The 17,181-nt window shown below is 55.1% G+C and overlaps 1 protein-coding gene across 1 annotated transcript in view, besides 8 other annotated features; it reads right to left on the bottom strand.

The window, feature by feature from the left end:
- The window catches only part of GNA11 (G protein subunit alpha 11), a 29,638-nt gene extending 25,689 nt beyond the window's left edge, over positions 1-3,949 (bottom strand). Inside the window, exon 1 of the mRNA NM_002067.5 lies at positions 3,524-3,949. Within this exon, the coding sequence (NP_002058.2) occupies positions 3,524-3,659 (136 nt within the window). The 5' untranslated portion in view covers positions 3,660-3,949. The remainder of the gene's footprint in view (positions 1-3,523) is intronic.
- Positions 1,183-2,170: an enhancer, noted in NCBI's record as "H3K4me1 hESC enhancer chr19:3096139-3097126 (GRCh37/hg19 assembly coordinates)". NCBI's record gives its function as "activates a minimal SCP1, AML or CMV promoter by ChIP-STARR-seq in naive H9 embryonic stem cells {active_cell/tissue: H9 hESC(naive)}" and the evidence as "EXISTENCE:reporter gene assay evidence [ECO:0000049][PMID:30033119]".
- Positions 2,171-3,156: an enhancer, noted in NCBI's record as "H3K27ac-H3K4me1 hESC enhancer chr19:3095153-3096138 (GRCh37/hg19 assembly coordinates)". NCBI's record gives its function as "activates a minimal SCP1, AML or CMV promoter by ChIP-STARR-seq in naive H9 embryonic stem cells {active_cell/tissue: H9 hESC(naive)}" and the evidence as "EXISTENCE:reporter gene assay evidence [ECO:0000049][PMID:30033119]".
- Positions 2,197-2,286: a silencer, noted in NCBI's record as "silent region_9828". NCBI's record gives its function as "represses an Ori minimal core promoter by ATAC-STARR-seq in GM12878 lymphoblastoid cells {active_cell/tissue: GM12878}" and the evidence as "EXISTENCE:reporter gene assay evidence [ECO:0000049][PMID:35858748]".
- Positions 3,157-4,144: an enhancer, noted in NCBI's record as "H3K27ac-H3K4me1 hESC enhancer chr19:3094165-3095152 (GRCh37/hg19 assembly coordinates)". NCBI's record gives its function as "activates a minimal SCP1, AML or CMV promoter by ChIP-STARR-seq in primed H9 embryonic stem cells {active_cell/tissue: H9 hESC(primed)}" and the evidence as "EXISTENCE:reporter gene assay evidence [ECO:0000049][PMID:30033119]".
- Positions 3,157-4,280: a biological region, named in NCBI's record as "H3K27ac-H3K4me1 hESC enhancer GRCh37_chr19:3094165-3095152".
- Positions 3,441-3,570: a silencer, noted in NCBI's record as "silent region_9827". NCBI's record gives its function as "represses an Ori minimal core promoter by ATAC-STARR-seq in GM12878 lymphoblastoid cells {active_cell/tissue: GM12878}" and the evidence as "EXISTENCE:reporter gene assay evidence [ECO:0000049][PMID:35858748]".
- Positions 3,891-4,010: a silencer, noted in NCBI's record as "silent region_9826". NCBI's record gives its function as "represses an Ori minimal core promoter by ATAC-STARR-seq in GM12878 lymphoblastoid cells {active_cell/tissue: GM12878}" and the evidence as "EXISTENCE:reporter gene assay evidence [ECO:0000049][PMID:35858748]".
- Positions 4,031-4,280: a silencer, noted in NCBI's record as "silent region_9825". NCBI's record gives its function as "represses an Ori minimal core promoter by ATAC-STARR-seq in GM12878 lymphoblastoid cells {active_cell/tissue: GM12878}" and the evidence as "EXISTENCE:reporter gene assay evidence [ECO:0000049][PMID:35858748]".

Raw genomic sequence — 17,181 nt, 5'->3', positions numbered from 1 at the left:
CAGGATGGCGGCGGCGCGGACGGAGGCGGGAGCAGCGTGTGCACTAAGTGCGCAGTACGTGCTTGCCACTCCTGTACCCATCCACAGCTGTCACCAGCATCGACAGAAGTGTGCATAGGGACAAACCTGGAATACCACGGGTATAAAACAATACATGCATTCACATTCATGCATACACTGAGTAGTGAATTCACACACACACGGCTTTGACGGTGCTTAGAAAAATACTCTATAAGCACTCATGGAAACTTCTGACAAAATAATTTGCACTCATTATCCCTCAGCTTTGCCACGAGCATTTTACGTTGTACGCTACCACACAGTAAAGGGTCTCAAATGGGGGCAACGTGCCCCCCAAGGGACAATGGGCACTGTCTAGAGACATCTGTGGTTATCACGACTTGGGGGAGCTCCTGGCATGGAGTGGGTGGAGGCCTCGGACACTGCTCAGCACCCTGCAGTGCCCAGGGCAGCCCCACCCCAGAGACCAACCCGGACCAATGTGCACAGGGCCCCGGGGAGACCTGTTGTACGTAACGGAGAGGCCCATCTGAGGCGTGAACAGCACATTTTAGCCGCCGCGGGAGAGGCGGCACGGCAGCCGGAGCCCCGTCCAGCTCTAGGGCTCCGTAAGGTCCCCCCCACCCCGAAAACGGGGCACGGAATGTCCTCGCCAGGCTGACCGACCTCACAGGCCGTGTGCAGCCCCAGGGAGGCAGTGGATGAGAGCGAGCAGACGCGGCGTTCTTCCAGAACATGCTCCACCTGGTTGCAAACCCAGGAGTCAGGGCAGGGCCCTGGAGCCCTGCTGCCCCAGAGCCTGGAAGAAACCAGCACCACCCACATAAACGAGACCCTCCTGGGCCCCAGATGCCACAGGGGTGTGGTGGCAGGCCCCTGCCTCCCTCCCCGACATCCACTCCACAACGCTGTACGGGAGCCATGGGGGAGGAGGGATGGAGCCCCCACTGCTAAGGGGCAGGGGAGGAAAGAATTCTAGGGAGAGGCAGACCCAGCTTGGCTGGGCCTCCTGCGGAGTGCCAGGACCTCCACCCAGAGGTCTCTGAACATTCCGTGGGCCGCAGGCGCCATAGCCACCTGCTGCAGCCCAACAGCCCCTTCCTTCCGGGGAGCCTCGGCCCCACCCTCTAGCTGCTCCCTGAAAAACGGGGGCAATCGCAAGCTCGGGGCTGGCCTACTGGGAGAGTGGAATGAGTTCCCACAAGCAGGCAGGGAGCCTGACAGAGGTCCCCTCCCCTGCACCCTGAGGCCCCAGCCCCTGGACCTCAGGTGGTCAAAGTCCTCCCAGCAAGGGGCCCTCCAGCTGGGATGCAAGGTTGCTTGGACGGGAAGTTTTCTGAGGGTCTGTCGCATCAGATTCCCAAAGGGGTCCCTGGCTCCAACACCTTGGGTGTGAAGCCCTCCCAACCCCCTGACAGCCCCGGCTCTCTGCGTGGCACTGACACCAGTCCTCCTTGGGTCGCACGTGAGCTCACATCTTCCTCACTGTCCTATCTGCCACGCCTGGCCCTGAGCCTGACAGCAACCTCCCGTCTTACAGGCTGATAGGGGTCAACTTTCAGGCTCACAGAGTGGGAGGGGGTGGGACTGCAGACACAGGTGCTCCTGCAGCAGACACCCCCGGGCCACAGGCGGGCACTGGACAGAGGATGCGGGAAGGGCCGCATCACTTCCAGACTTGCTCCAAGCAGCCAAGGCGGCAGACACGGGAGCCCCTGACCTTCGTCCTTGAACCCCGTGTCAATCTCAAGTCCAAAGTGCAGGCACAGAAGACCGGGTGCATGCAGGGATGGCGGCGGGGGTTCTGGAGGTCACAGAGCCACAGGGCAAGGCCATCTGGTAAGATCTTTATGACACCAGTAATTCCTAACTCCCCTCCATCCAAACAAAGTCCACGACCCACTACAAAAGCCAGCCAGTGCCACTCTGTGCAAAGTGCCACCACGCGGGCCGCACTGCACATTTCCTCCAAACGTGAGGACCACGGCTCTGCCTACCCGCGGCCCCCTGGAAAGATGGCCCATTTTAGAACCCTTAGGTAAATCAAAACACAAGTTTGGGGAAAAAAATCAGGAAGGCGTTTCATCCAAGGCACCTCTGTAACCCGGGACACGGAGGGCCCTAAGAGGCTCACGGCAGGAGAGGCAACGTGTTCCCCACACAACATGCGACCTGCCTCCTCCCCAAGAGCCACCGCCACCAGCACGCCCCCTCCTCCGTCACCGCTGCCTCTCACGCATTTCCGACCTTCCCCACCGCCCCGCCCCCGGCCCAGGAGCTAACCTAGGAGCTCGGGAGGGCAGGGGCGGGGCAGGGCAAGAGCTTCTGTTTTGTAAACCACTGAAGGGGCCCTTATTTGGAGTGACAACACTTTACAGCTGGCCCGACTGGCTCCCTGCAGCAGGTGTGCCTTGGGGAGAAGGAGGTTCACCAGCAAACCTTCTCCAGGACGGTGGGGAGGAGCCGGCAGGTGGGGGGCTGCTCTCAACGAGGACTCAGCGTGGCTCCCACCAGGACTCTAAGGAAGGGGGCGGGGGAGGCTGCCGAGATAGCTGCTTGGGACAACAAGCAAAGGCTCCCTCAGGTGTCAACCGCCCCACCCTCAGCTGAGCGGAACCCTGAGGAGAGGAAAGACTGTCTTTTTCCCACAGGGTGCATTCCAGCCAAGAGGAGTACGGGGTTTCCCGGAACAGGAAGGCAGGAGAATGGCCCTGAAGGGAATGTGGGGATAGGGGACACGGAGGAGTCTTCGGGGGGATGGGGGGGTGTACAGGGCCTGCATGGAGGGTACAGGGCCTGCATGGAGTGTACAGGGCTCTGCCTGGAGGGAAGGGTCAACGCGGGGCCCTGAGCAGTGAGGGGTGAGTGTGCCCTGTGGGTTACAGCCCAAAGGTCTGGCCCTGAAGGGGTAGCGAGGGGTGGGTACTCCGGTGGGGTAAGGTCAGAAGGTCCCTGTGCAGGGAGGGACTGGTCCCTTGAGAAGGAACAGAGGGCAAATCCTGAAGAGTCCTGGAGGCCCAATGTAGACAGCAGAAGCTGGGAGCTGACCTAGGAGTGATCGGGGGCCTGATCCAGACAGGACAGACACAGGCTGACACCGGAGAGTCCCAGGTGCCAACATGAACAGTTAAGGCAGGGGCTGACCCCAAAGAAATCAGGGGCCCGCAGCTGACCCCGGAGGGTCCCAGGTGCCGACCTAGACAGCAAAGGCAGGGCTGACCCCAGAGGGTCCCGAGCCGACCCAGACGACACAGGCAGGGCTGATCCCGGAGGGCCCCGCCCCGACCCGGACAGGCAGTGAAGGCACAGGCAGGGCTGACACTCGAGGGTCCCGCGACCCGGACAGGCAGGGAAGGCACAGGCAGGGCTGACCCCGGAGGGTCTCGCGACCCGGACGGCACAGGCAGGGCTGACCCCGGAGGGTCCCGGCCCGACCCGGACAGGCAGGGCAGGCACAGGCAGGGCAGGGCCCGCAGCCGGCAGGCCCGGGGGCCGCACTCACCGAGCAGCAGCAGCTTGAGCTCGCGCCGGGCGTCGCGCTTGTCCCGCCGCAGCTGCTTCTCGATCTCGGCGTTGATCCGCTTGGACTCCTTCACCTCATCGCTCAGGCAACACGCCATCATGGACTCCAGAGTCATCGTCCCGGCCCCGGCCGACGCGGCCGCCTGCCCGCCGCCGCCCCCCGGCCCCCGGCCCGGCCCTGGCCGGAGCCGCCTCGGCCGCCGCCCGCCGCGGCCCTCCGGCCTCGGCCACCGGCCCTCGGCCCCGGGCCGGCCCGCCCCGCCTCGGCCGCCGCCTGGCGAGCCGCCGGGTCCCCGCTCGGGCCGCGCCAGCCGCGGACTCCCGCGCGGCCGCACTCAGCCCGCGCCGCCGCCGCAGCCACCGCCAACCGCAGCCGCCGCAACCGAGCGACAGCGCCGGACAACCTAGCAGGCTGGGAGCGCAGCCCGCGACGGGCAGACGGTGCGGCCAATGGGAGGGGCCGGCGGCCAAGCGCGCCCACCATGGGGGCGGGACTAGCGGCCTGGGCGGGGCGTCGGCGGGCGCGAAAGGGGCGGGGCGGGGCGAGGGCGGGGGGCCCGCGGGTTTGGTTGCGCCGACGTGGGAAGGGGGACGCGCAGCCGGGAGCCGGGGCGGGGCCGCCCGGGATTGTGGGAATGTGGCGGACTCGGCCCGGCCAGGCTCGGCTCCGCTCGGCTCCGTTCGGCCCCGCTCGGTCCCGCTCGGCTCGGCCCAGGCGCGGTGGCGGAGGCGCGCACGCGGCCGCTGCGCTCTCTGGGTCTCCAGGTGCCTGGGCAGCAGTCGCTGCCCCCGGGAAGCGCCCTGACATTGCCTGACAGGAACCTTCACTCATCCATTAAAAAGCGTTAATGGAGGTCGGGCGCGGTGGCTCACGCCTGTAATCCCAGCACTTTGGAAGGCCGAGGCGGGCGGATCACCTGAGGTCTGGAGTTCGAGACCAGCCTGACCAACAGGGAGAAACGCCGTCTCTACTAAAACTACAAAATTAGCCCGGCGTGGTGGTGCACGCCCGTAATCCCAGCTACTCGGGAGGCTGAGGCAGGAGAATCACTTGAACCCAGGAGGCGGAGGTTGCAGTGAGCCGAGATCACGCCATTGCACTCCAGCCTGGGCAACAAGAACGAAACTCCGTCTCCAAAGAAAAAAAAAAAAAAAGAGGGCCGGGCGCGGTGGCTCACGCCTGTAATCCCAGCACTTTGGGAGGCCGAGGCGGGTGGATCACGAGGTCAGGAGATCGAGACTATCCTGGCTGACACGGTGAAACCCCGTCTCTACTAAAAATACAAAAAATTAGCCGGGCGTGGTGGCGGGCGCCTGTAGTCCCAGCTACTCGGGAGGCTGAGGCAGGAGAATGGCGTGAACCCGGGAGACGGAACTTGCAGTGAGCTGAGATCATGCCACTGCACTCCAGCCTGGGCGACAGAGCGAGACTCTGTCTCAAAAAAAAAAATTAAAAAGCGTTAATGGGACACCTACTGTGTATCAGGCATTAATGGGACACATTCTATATGCCAGGCACGGACCAGAGATTAATGGAGTGCCTGCTGTCCATCAGGTGTCAATCAGGCCTTACTGCAGTGCCTGCACCATTCCAGGCCAGGTATACGCATTCATGAAATGCCTACAGGATACCAGGCACTGCTGTAAGCCCGTTAAGCTAACCCTACCCAAGGGATATCTTTTTTTTCTTCTTCTTTTTTTGAGATGGAGTCTTGCTCTGTCGCCCAGGCTGGAGTGCAGGGGCGTGATCTAGGTTCATTGCACCCTCTGCCTCACAGGCTCTAGTGATTCTCCTGCCTCACCCTCCCAAGTAGCTGGGATTACAGGCGCGCCACCATGCCTGGCTAATTTTGTATTTTTAGTAGAGAGCGGGTTTCGCCACGTTGGCCAGGCTGGTCTCAAACTCCTGGCCTCTAGTGATCTGCCCTCCTCGGCCTCCCAAAGCGCTGGGATTATAGATGTGAGCCACCTCACCCAGCCATATCTTTATCCTTACTTTGCAGATGAAATGGAAGTGGCCACCAGAATTTATAAAAACGTGTGTTCCCACCACCTTGCTGACTACTGAAAACCCTTTTCCCTCTCTGGCCTCCTTGGCCAACCCCTGAGCATCCTCTCCGTTTCAATTCAGACGTCAGCTCCTCAGGGAGACTTCTCCTGACTCCTCAGACCAAGCCAGGTACCTTCTCTTGAGCCACAACTTGAAATTGTATGTTCTGGCCAGGTGCGGCAGCTCCTGCCGGTAATCCCAGTACTTGGGAGGCCAAGGCAGGTGGACCGCTTGAGCTCAGGAGTTCGAGACCAGCCTAGATAACATGGCGAAACCCCATCTCTACTAAAAATACAAAAAATTAGATGGGTGTGGTGGCACATGCCTGTAATCCCAGCTACTCGGGAGGCTGAGAGGATCACTTGAGCCCAGGAGGCAGATGTTGCAGTGAGCGGAGATGGGGCTACTGCACTCCAGCCTGGGACACAAGAGTGAGACCCTGTATCAAAACAAAACAAAACAAAACACCAGAGTGGCCAACATGGTGAAACCCCCTCTCTACTAAAAATACAAAAATGACCCGGGCGTGGTGGCGGGCACCTGTGGTCTCAGCTACTTTTGCTGAGGCAGGAGAATCGCTTGAACCCGGGAGGCAGAGGTTGCAGGGAGCTGGGATCATACCACTGCATTCCAGCCAGGGCAACAGAACGAGACTCCGTCTCAAAAAAAAAAAAAAAAAAAGGCCGGGTGTGGTGGTTTATGCCTGTAATCCCAGCACTTTGGGAGGCCGAGGTGGGCAGATCACCTGAGATCGGGAGTTCAAGACCAGCCTGACCACCATGGAGAAACCCCGTCTCTACTGAAAATACAGAATTAGCCAGGCACGGTGGCTCATGCCTGTAATCCCAGCTACTTGGGAGACTGAGGCAGGAGAACCTCTTGAACCCGGGAGGCGGAGGTTGCAGTGAGCTGAGATCGCACCATTGCACTCCAGCCTGGGCAACAAGAGAGAAACTCCGTCCAAAAAAAAAAAAAAACAAAAAAGCAGGGTGTGGTGGCTCATGCCTGTAATCCCAGCACTTTGGAAGGCCAAGGCAGGCAGATCACTTGAGGTCAGCAGTTTGAGACCAGCCTGGCTAACATGGCAAAACCCTGTCTCTATTAAAAATACAAAAAAATTAGTGGACACCTGTAATCCCAGCTACTCGGGAGGCTGAGGCAGCAGAATCTCTTGAACCCAGGAGGTGGACGTTGCAGTGAGCCGAGACCACACCACTGCACTCCAGCCTGGGCGACAAGCGTGAAACTCCATCTCCAAAAAAAAAAAAGAAAGAAATTATATATTCTTCTGGGTGCCTCTCTGTAGACTCAGTTTCCCAAATTGGCCATCAGCTCCATGAGGTCAGAGCCTGTCTGGTTCACCTAGAACAAAGATTGGCAATCCACAACCCTCGGCCCTATGGTCCATAAGCTTCGAATGGCTTTTACTTTTTTTTTTTTTGAGACGGAGTCTTGCTCTGTCGCCCAGGCTGGAGTGTAGTGGCATGATGTCAGCTCACTACAAGCTCCGCCTCCCAGGTTCACGCCATTCTACTGCCTCAGCCTCCCGAGTAGCTGGGACTACGGCACCCGCCACCACGCCTGGCTAATTTTTTTGTTGTATTTTTTAGTAGAGATGGGGTTTCACCGTGTTAGCCAGGATGGCCTCAATCCCCTGACCTCGTGATCTGCCTGCCTCGGCCTCCTAAAGTGTTGGGATTACAGGCGTGAGCCACCGCGCCCAGCCTGGCTTTTACATTTTTAAACGGTTTTAAAAAATCAAAAGAAAGTAATATTTAGGTAGACATAAAAATTATATGGAACTCAAATTTCAGTGTCCATGTATAGGATTTTGTTGGAAGCCAGTCACATCCATTGATTTCCATACTGAGTGTGGCTACTCTTACCCCACAGGGCAGCATTACAAGAACTCTTCAAAGATTTCCTATGTGGTCCCTTACAGAAAGAGACCTAGAATGAGGCTCTAACACACACTAGGTGCTCAATCGATGTGTTTGGAATGATGGGAAAGGAATTAAAAAGCCTGGTCTGGGAAGAGTGGCTCATGCCTGTAATCCCAATACTTTGGGAGGCCAAGGCAGGAGGACTGCTTGAGGCCAGGAGTTTGAGACCAGCCTGGGCAGCATAGCAAGACCCCCACGTACACACCCTACAAAAGTAAAAATAAAATTTGCTGGGCACGGTGGCTCACGCCTGTCATCCCAGCACTTTGGGAGGCCAAGGCAGGCAGATGACCTGAGGTCAGGAGTTCAAGACCAGCCTGGCCAACATGGTGAAACCCCGTCTCTACTAAAAATACAAAAATTAGCCGGGCATGGTGGCTTGCACCTATATTCTCAGCTACTCCGGAGGCGGAGGCAGGAGAATCGCTTGAACCCAGGAGGTGGAGGTTGCAGTGAGCCGAGATCACACCAGGAGGTGGAAGTTGCAGTGAGCTGAGATCGCACCACTGCACTCCAGCCTGGGCGACACAGTGAGACTCCACCTCAAAAAATAAAATAAAATAATGAAATAAAATTAGCCGGGCATGGTAGCGTGTGCCTGTAGTCCCAGCTATTCAGGAGGCCAAGGTGGGAGGATCACTTGAGCCCAAGAAGTCAATGCTGCAGTGAGCCATGATTGCACCACTGCACTCCAGCCTGGGTAACAGAATAAGACCCTGTCTCAAAAACTGAAATTAAGGCAGGTGCAGTTGCTCACGCCTATAATCCCAGGACTTTGGGAGGCCAAGGCAGGAGGATCACTTGAGCCCAGGAGTTCAAGACCAGGGTCTCAACATAGTGAGACCCTGTCTCTACAAAAAAAAAAAAAAAAAAAAAAAAAAAAAGACAAAGGGAAGATACTAAAAATGAATACTAGAGCCTAGATTGTTCTTGGAGCTGGAAATTCATTTTAAAGAGGAGGAAACTGAGGCACCATTGCATACAACTTCGCTGACTGCCACGCCTCTCCCAGCCCCTGACACTGCCTGACCTCCCCACCACCTCCTCCCTCTACCTGGCCCTTCCCAGTTTCCAAATGTCAGGAGCCTATCCCTTATCCTCAGAGGTACACCTTGATAGACCCTTCTCCCTTGTCTTGAGATAAGAGGGCAAAGGGAGGGTCAAAGTCTCCGTTTATCAGTTCCTTGGGTGTGTGGGAAGATTAGCTCACTTTTTTTTTTTGAGACAGTCTTGCTCTGTCGCCCAGGCTGGAGTGCAATCAATGGCATGATCTCGGCTCACTGCAACCTCCACCTCCCAGGCTCAAGCAATTCTCCCATCTCAGCCTCCCCAGTAACTGGGACTACAGGCACCCCCACATCATGCCCGGCTAATTTTTGTATTTTTGTAGAGGCAGGGTTTCACCATGTTGGCCAGGCTGGTCTTGAACTCCTGACCTCAGGTGATCCACCCACCTCGGCCTCCCAAAGTGCTGGGATTACAGGTGTGAGCCACCACACCCGGACAAAAGATTAGCTCCTTGAAAAGCTCATCTTCTGGGGTTCCAGTCCCACCTCAGCTGCACGTAGCCAGGGGGCTCCTGGAGTTCCCGCCTCAATAGATCAAAGCTCCAATTGCATGTGAAACTTACAACCAGAGGGCAAATTGTGGCCAAAAACATTGTCACTCACTTGGCCAGGCAGAGTGGCTCATGCTTGTAATGCCAACACTTTGGGGGGCCAAGGCAGGAGGACCGCTTGAGCCCAGGAGTTAGAGACCAGCCTGGACAATACAGTGAGATCCTGTCTCTGTTAAAAGCAACAATATATGGCCGGGCGTGGTGGCTCATGCCTGTAATCCCAGCACTTTGGGAGGCCGAGGTGGGCGGATCAGGAGGTCAGGAGATCGAGACCATCCTGGCTAACATCGTGAAACCCCATCCCTACTAAAAATACAAAAAATTAGCCAGGCATGGTGGCAGGTGCCTGTAGTCCCAGCTACTCGGGAGGCTGAGGCAGGAGAATGGTGCCAACCCGGGAGGCCGAGCTTGCAGTGAGCTGAGATCGCACCACTGCACTCCAGCCTGGGTGACAGAGCACGACTCCATCTAAGAAAAAAAAAACCCAATATTGTCACTCAGGCCTCGGCTAAAAACACCTCCCCCTCCAATGGGTCCTACCTGAAAATCCATAACTAATGCCACCCCCACTCCAAGCCCTCCCTCCTGTCACGTCCTGTTGAGTTGCCTTCATAGCCCTTTTTGCAGCTTGAAATTATCGTATTTACCTCTTTATTCATTGATTACCTCTCCTGCCATGATACAGGGTGTATTTCTTTCTTTCTTTCTTTTTCTTTCTTTCTTTCCTTTTCTTTTTTTTTTTTTTTAAGACGGAGTTTCACTCTTGTTGCCCAGGCTGGAGTGCAGTGGCACTATCTCAGCTCACAGCAACCTCCGCCTCCCGGGTTCAAGCGATTCTCCTGCCTCAGCCTCTCCAGTAGCTGGGATTACAGGCAGGCACCACCACCCCAGCTAATTTTGTGTTTTTAGTAGAGACAGGGTTTCTCCATGTTGGTCAGGCTGGTCTTGAATTCCCAACCTCAGGTGATCCGCCCACCTCAGCCAGCCAAAGTGCTGGGATTACGGGCTTGAGCCACCATGCCCGGCTTTTTTTTTTTTTTTTTTGTGATAGGATCTTGATCTGTCGCCCAGGCTGCAGTGCAGTGACACGATCTCAGCACACTACAGCCTCGACTTCCTGGGCTCAAATGATCCTCCCGCCTTAGCCTCCCGAGTAGCTGGGACTACAGGTGCCCACCAATACGCTCAGCTAAATTTGTTTAATTTTTTGTAGAGATGGGATCTCACTAGCTTGCCCAGGCTGATCTCAAACTCCTGGGCTCAAGCAATCCTCCCTCCTCAACCAGTCTCTGCCATAACACGCTGTTCTTTTCTTTCAGATACTTTGTCACAATTTGAAATGGGATCTATTTATTGATGATTATTGATTGGGCGTCTGCTATGGGCCAGGTACTAGACTGGATATTTACTTACTTTTTTATTTTTACTTACGTTTTTATTTTTTTTATTTTTTTGAAATGGAGTCTCACTCTGTGGCCCAGGCCGGAGTGTAGTGGCATGCTCTCGGCTCACTGCAACCTCTGCCTCCCGGGTTCAAGCGATTCTTATGTCTCAGCCTCCCAAGTAGCTGGGGTTACAGACATCCGCCACCACGCCCAGCGAACTTTCGTATTTTTAGTAGAGATGGGTTTCACCACGTTGGCCAGGCTGTTCTCGAACTGCTGACCTCAAGTGAACTGCCCGCCTCAGCCTCTCAAAGTGCTGGGATTATAGGTGTGAGCCACCACACCCGGCCTTGAGCAATTTTTTTTTTTTTTTTTTTTTTTTTTTGAGACGGAGTCTTGCTCTCTCGCCCAGGCTGAAGTGCAATGGCGCAGTCTCGGCTCGCTGCAACCTCCACCTCCGGGCTCAAGTGATTCTCCTGCCACAACCTCCCAAGCAGCGGGGATTACAGGCATGCGCCACCATACCTGGCTCATTTTTGTATTTTTAGTAGAGCCGGGATTTCACCATGTTGGCCAGGCTGGTCTCAAACTCCTGACCTCGTGACCTCCCCACCTCGGCCTCCCAAAGTGCTGGGACTACAGGCATGAGCCAGCGCGCCCAGCCTTGAGCATTTATTAAAGAAACTCCGTGGACCGGGCGCAGTGGCTAACGCCTGTAATCCCAACACTTTGGGAGGCTGAGTCAGGCAGATCACAAGGTCAGGAGATCGAGACCATCCCGGCTAACACAGTGAAGCCCTGTCTCCACTAAAAAAATTCAAAAAAATTAGCCAGGCCTGGTGACGGGTGCCTGTGGTCCCAGCTACTTTGGAGGCTGAGGCAGGAGAATGGCATGAACCCAGGAGGCGGAGCTTGCAGTGAGCAGAGATTGTGCCACTGCACTCCAGCCTGGGCGACAGAGCGAGACTCAGTCTCAGATAATAATAATAATAAAAGAAACTCCGTGGAAACCCCCTCCTGGCTGCAGGGCTGTCCTGGGCATTGTTGGGAGGAGATCCAGTGGGGAGCAGGAACAACAGTTGGGGCCAGGCTCAGCGACTCACGCCTGTAATCCCAGCACTTCAAAAGGCTGAGGTAGGAGGATAGTTAGAGGGCAGGAGTTGGAGCCTAGCCTGGACATCACCACAAAACCCCATCTCTACAAAAAAATTTAAAAATTAGGCCGGGCGCGGTGGCTCAAGCCTGTAATCCCAGCACTTTGGGAGGCCGAGGTGGGCGGATCATGAGGTCAGGAGATCGAGACCATCCTGGCTAACACGGTGAATCCCGTCTCTACTAAAAATACAAAAAATTAGCCGGGCGAGGTGGCGGGCGCCTGTAGTCCCAGCTACATGGGAGGCTGAGGCAGGAGAATGGCGTGAACCCCAGGGGGCGGAGCCTGCAGTGAGCCGAGATCGCGCCACTGCACTCCAGCCTGGGTGAAAGAGCGAGACTCCATCTCAAAAAAAAAAAAAAAAAGAAAGAAAAAAAATTTAAAAATTAGCTGGGTGTATTGATGCACGCCTGCAATCCCAGCATTTTGGGAGTCTGAGGTGGGAGGATTGCTGGGGCCAGGAGTTTGAGGCTGCAGTGAGCTGTGATTGTGCCACTGCACTCCGGCCTGGGTGACAGAGTGAGACCCTGGCAGAAAGAAAAAGAAAAGAAAAGGCCAGGCGCATTGGCTCTCGCCTGTCATCCTGGAACTTTGGGAGGCCAAGGCGGGCGGATCACTTGAGGTCAGGAGTTTGAAGCCAGCCTGGCCAACATGGTAAAACTCTGTCTCTACCAAAAAATACAAAAATTAGCTGGGCATGGTGGTGGGCACCTGTAATCCCAGCTACTCAGGAGGCTGAGGCAGGAGAATCACTTGAACTCGGGAGGTACAGGTTGCAGTGAGCCGAGATTGCGCCACTGCACTCCAGCCTGGGCAACAGAGTGAGACTCCTTCTCAAAAAAATAAAGAAAAGAAGGAAAAGGAAAGGAAAGTAGAAGAGGAGAGGGGAGGGGAGGGGGAAAAGAAAGAAAGAAAAGAAACAGGCCAGGCGTGGTGGCTCACGCCTGTAATCCCAGCACTTTGGGAGGCTGAGGCAGGCGGATCACCTGAGGTCAAGAGTTCGAGACGAGACTCAACATGGAGAAACCCCGTCTCTACTAAAAACACAAAATTAGCTGGGCGTGGTGGTGTACGCCTGTAATCCCAGCTACTTGGGAGGCTGAGGCAGGAGAATCGCTTGAACCCTGGAGGTGGAAGTTGCAGTGAGCTGAGATTGCGCCATTGCACTCCAGCCTGGGCAACAAGAGCAAAACTCCGTCTCAAAAAAAAAAAAAGAAAGAAAGAAAGAAAAGAAACAACAACATCATGGGGGGTCTTCCGTTCTCAGTGCCTACTGTGTGCCGGGAACTGGGCCAGGACACAGAAAGCCTCCTGTGGGGAAGATGGGGAAACTGAGGCCCATCCAGAGATGGGGAGTTGACCCTGGGCCCCAACCCGGAGCTGAATACTGACTCCAGCGTCCCCACCCAGAGGCTCAGAGTGACAAAGTCCACACTCACAGCAGTGCCTTCATGGCGTTGGCGGCCCCTCCCTCCCTCCTCAGCTCCCCACGGCCTCCTCCCTTCCTTGTGGCCTTGGCCTCCTGGACCTTGAGGAACTGGATTTTATGAGGGCCCGGGGTGAGAACAAGGCCATTTCCTGGCACAGAGCTGCGAGCGAGGACAAAGGTGATGGGGACCCAGGCTGAGGACAGGCAGGGTGCAAGGGCACCTATTGCCAGAACTACAGCTCCGGAGTCAGGGGGCAGGACCCTCCGCACCCAAACACCAGCCCCTCCAGGCCTCAGGGTGGAAAATGAGCACTCATTGCCTGCCATAAAGAAAATCAGCCGGCGTGGTGGCTCACGCCTGTCATCCCAGCACATTGGGAGGCCGAGGCGGGTGGATCACCTGAGGTCAGGAGTTGAAGACCAGCCTGGCCAACATAATGACACCCCGTCTCTACTAAAAATACAAAAATTAGCCAGGCATGTTGGCAGGCACCTGTAATCCCAGCTACTCAGGAGGCTGAGGCGGGAGAATGGTGTGAACCCGGCAGGCCGAGGTTGTAGTGAGCCGAGATCACGCCACTGCACTTCAGCCTGGGCGACAGAGCAAGACTCTGTCTCAAAAATTAAAAAAAGAAAAAGAAAAAAGAAAATCATCAGGCCAGGCTTGGTGGCTCACGCCTGTAATCCCAACACCTTGGGAGGCCAAGGCGGGTGGATCACCTGAGACCAGCCTGGCCAACGAGGTGAAACCCCGTCTCTGCTAAAAATACAAAAATTAGCCAGGCATGGTGGCGGGTGCCTGTCATCTCAGCTACTCGGGAGGCTGAGGCAGGGGAATTGTTTGAACCCAGGAGACGGAGGTTGCAGCGAGCAGAGATGGCGCCATTGCACTCTAGCCTGGGGGACAGAGCAAGACTCTGTCTCAGAAATAAAAAATTTAAAAAATGGTCAAGCTGGGCATGGTGGCACATGCCTCTGGTCCCAGCTACTTGGGAGGCCAAGGCATGAGGGTCACTTAAGCTCAGGAGTTCAAGAGCAGCCTGGGCAACACAGCAAGACCCCATCTCTACAAAAAATAATAAATGAGTAAGGCATGGTGGTGCATGCCTGTGGTCTCAGTTTCTTGGGAGACTGAGGTGGGAAGATCGATCGAGCCCAGGAGTTTGAGGCTGCAGTGAGGTATGATCGCACCACTGCACTCCAGCCTGGCACACAAAACGAGAACCCCTGATCTAAAACCAAACAAAAAAAAAAAGGAAGCAACTGGGATTCTCCTCCATGACTGGTGGGAATGTGAAATAGTGCGGCTACTTTGGAAAAAAGTCTAGCAGATTCTTTATTTAAAAAAATATTTTTTTGAGACGGAGTCTTGCTCTGTTGCCCAGGCTGGAGTGCAGGGGCGTGATCTCGGCTCACTGCAAGCTCCGCCTCTCAGGTTCACGCCATTCTCCTGCCTCAGACTCCTGAGTAGCTGGGACTACATGCGCCCGCCACCACGCCCGGCTAATGTTTTTTGCATTTTTTAATAGAGACGGGCTTTCACCGTGTAAGCCAGGACGGTCTCAATCTCCTGACCTCATGATCCGCCCGCCTCGGCCTCCCAAAGTGCTGGGATTACAGGTGTGAGCCACCGCATCCGGCCGGATTCTTCAAAATTTAAACAAGATCAGTTGAGCGCTGTGGCTCACGCCTGTAATCCGAGCACTTTGGGAGGCCGAGGTGGGTGGATCACCTGAGGTAGGGAGTTCGAGACCAGCCTGACTGACATGGAGAAACCCCGTCTCTACTAAAAAAATACAAAAATTAGCTGGGCATGGTAGCGCATGTTTGTAATCCCAGTTACTCGGGCGGCTGAGGTAGGAGGATCGCTTGAACCTGGGAGGCGGAGGTTGCGGTGAGTCGAGATTGCACCATCGCACTCCAGCCTGGGCAACAAGAGCAAAACTCCGTCTCAAAAAAAAAAAAATTTAAACAGGATCTAGGGCTGGCCGTGGTTCATACTTGTAAATCCAGAACTTTGGGAGGCCGAGGTGGGTGGATCACTTGGGCTCAGGAGTTCGAGACCAGCCTGGCCAACATGATGAAACCCCATCTCTACTAAAAATACAAAAGTGGCTGGGCGCGGTGGCTCACGCCTGTAATCCCAGCACTTTGGGAGGCCGAGGTGGGCAAATCACGAGGTCAAGAGATCGAGACCATCCTGGCTAACACAGTGAAACCCCGTCTCTACTAAAAATACAAACATTAGCCAGGCATGGTGGCACACGCCTGTAGTCCCAGCTGCTCAGGAGGCTGAGGCAGGAGAATCATTTGAACCAGGGAGGCAGAGGTTGCAGTGAGCCAAGATCATGCCACTGCACTCCAGCCTGGGCAACAGAGTGAGACTCCTTCTGAAAAAGATAATATTAAATAAATAAATAGATAGATAAATAAATAATATAAACAGTATCTATTTATATTTATTTTGAATAAATAAACAGGATCCAGCCATTTCATTCCTAGGTATTTTGCCAACAGAAATGAAGACATGTCAGTACAGACGCCTACACTCCATACTAACAACAGCCGTGGTTTATGCTGCTGGAAGCTGGGAGTCCGGCTCTCTGGTTCTCATCCAGCACACCCTCCCCAAGCTGTGTGACTTTCAGGGGGAGACTTGCCCTCTCTGAATCTCCATCTCTTCATCGGTGAAATAAGCGTAGTGATAAAAATTTCCGTAGGCCAACGGGCACATGGAAAGTTGCTTGGCCAGGCCCAGTGCCGCACACCTGTAATCCCAGCACTTTGGGAGGCTGAAGCTGGAGAATCGCTTGAGCCCAGGAGTCCAAGAATAGCTTGAGCAATATATCGAGACCCTATCTCTACTAAAAATACAACATTAAAAAGTAGCCACGTGTGGTGGCATGCACCTGTAGTCCCAGCTACTCAGGAGGCTGAGGTGAGAGGATTGCTTGAGCCTGGGAGGCTGAGGGTGTAGTAAGCTATGATTGCACCACTGCACTCTAGCCTTGGCAACAGAGCAAGGCCTTGTCTGAAAAAAATAACCAGGCTTGGCCCCGTGGCTCACACCTGTAATCCCAGCACTTTGGGAGGCCAAGGCAGGCAGATCACCTGAGGTCAGGAGTTCGAGAATAGCCTGGCCAACATGGTAAAACCCCGACTCTACTAAAAATACAAAAATTAGCCAAGTATGGTGGCACGTGCCTGTAATCCCAGCTACTCAGGAAGCTGAGGCAGGAGAATCCCTTGAACCCAAGAGGCAGAGGCTGTGGTGAGCCAAGATCTTGCCACTGCACTCCAGCCTGGGTGACAGAATGAGACTCCATCTCAAAAAAAAAAAAAACAAAAAAAAACTCCCTTTCTAATACCACTTGCCCTTGAAATCTTTCCTGGGTGAAGCCAAGAACCCTCCCAGGCTAAGCCCCAATTTTGGGGCTCACCTGCCCTGCATCGAGGGGACCAGGGCAGACAGGACTTGGCTTGTCAAGCTGAGGGAGGATAGGGCTGGGTCCAGGTGGAGGCTGTGCACATGTGGAAAAGTTTTGGGGCAGATAACAACACAGACCCTGCAATCACAATCCCTGGGTTCAAATTCCCACACTCCCTCCTTGCTCTCCCTCCCAACTCCATGACCTTGAGCTGTGACCTTGAACCAGGGACTCCTCCTCCCTTAGCCTCCATTTCCTTTTGGCAAAACAGGGATATAAGAGTTACCTGTGGCCGGGCTCCCACCTGTAATCCCAGCACTTTGGGAGGCAGAGGCAGATGGATCACCTGAGGTCAGGAGTTTGAGACCAGCCTGGCCAAGAGGGTGAAACCCCGTCTCTACTAAAAATACAAAAGTTAGCCAGGCGTGGTGGTGGGACCTGTAATCCCAGCTACTCGGGAGGCTGAGGCATGATAATTACTTGAACCCGGGAGGCGGAGGTTGCAGTGAACCAATATCATGCCATTGCACTCCAGCCTGGGCAACAAGAGGGAAACTCTGTCTCAAAAAAAAAAAAAAAAAAAAAAATTGGGAAGCCGAGGCAGGCAGATCACCTGAGGTCAGGATCACTCC

This window comes from Homo sapiens, chromosome 19 (genome assembly GCF_000001405.40).
Source record: "Homo sapiens chromosome 19, GRCh38.p14 Primary Assembly".
NCBI classification, from domain to species: domain Eukaryota; kingdom Metazoa; phylum Chordata; class Mammalia; order Primates; family Hominidae; genus Homo; species Homo sapiens.
Note: the sequence above shows the minus strand (reverse complement) of the source record. Positions and strands in the feature narration are given on the sequence as shown.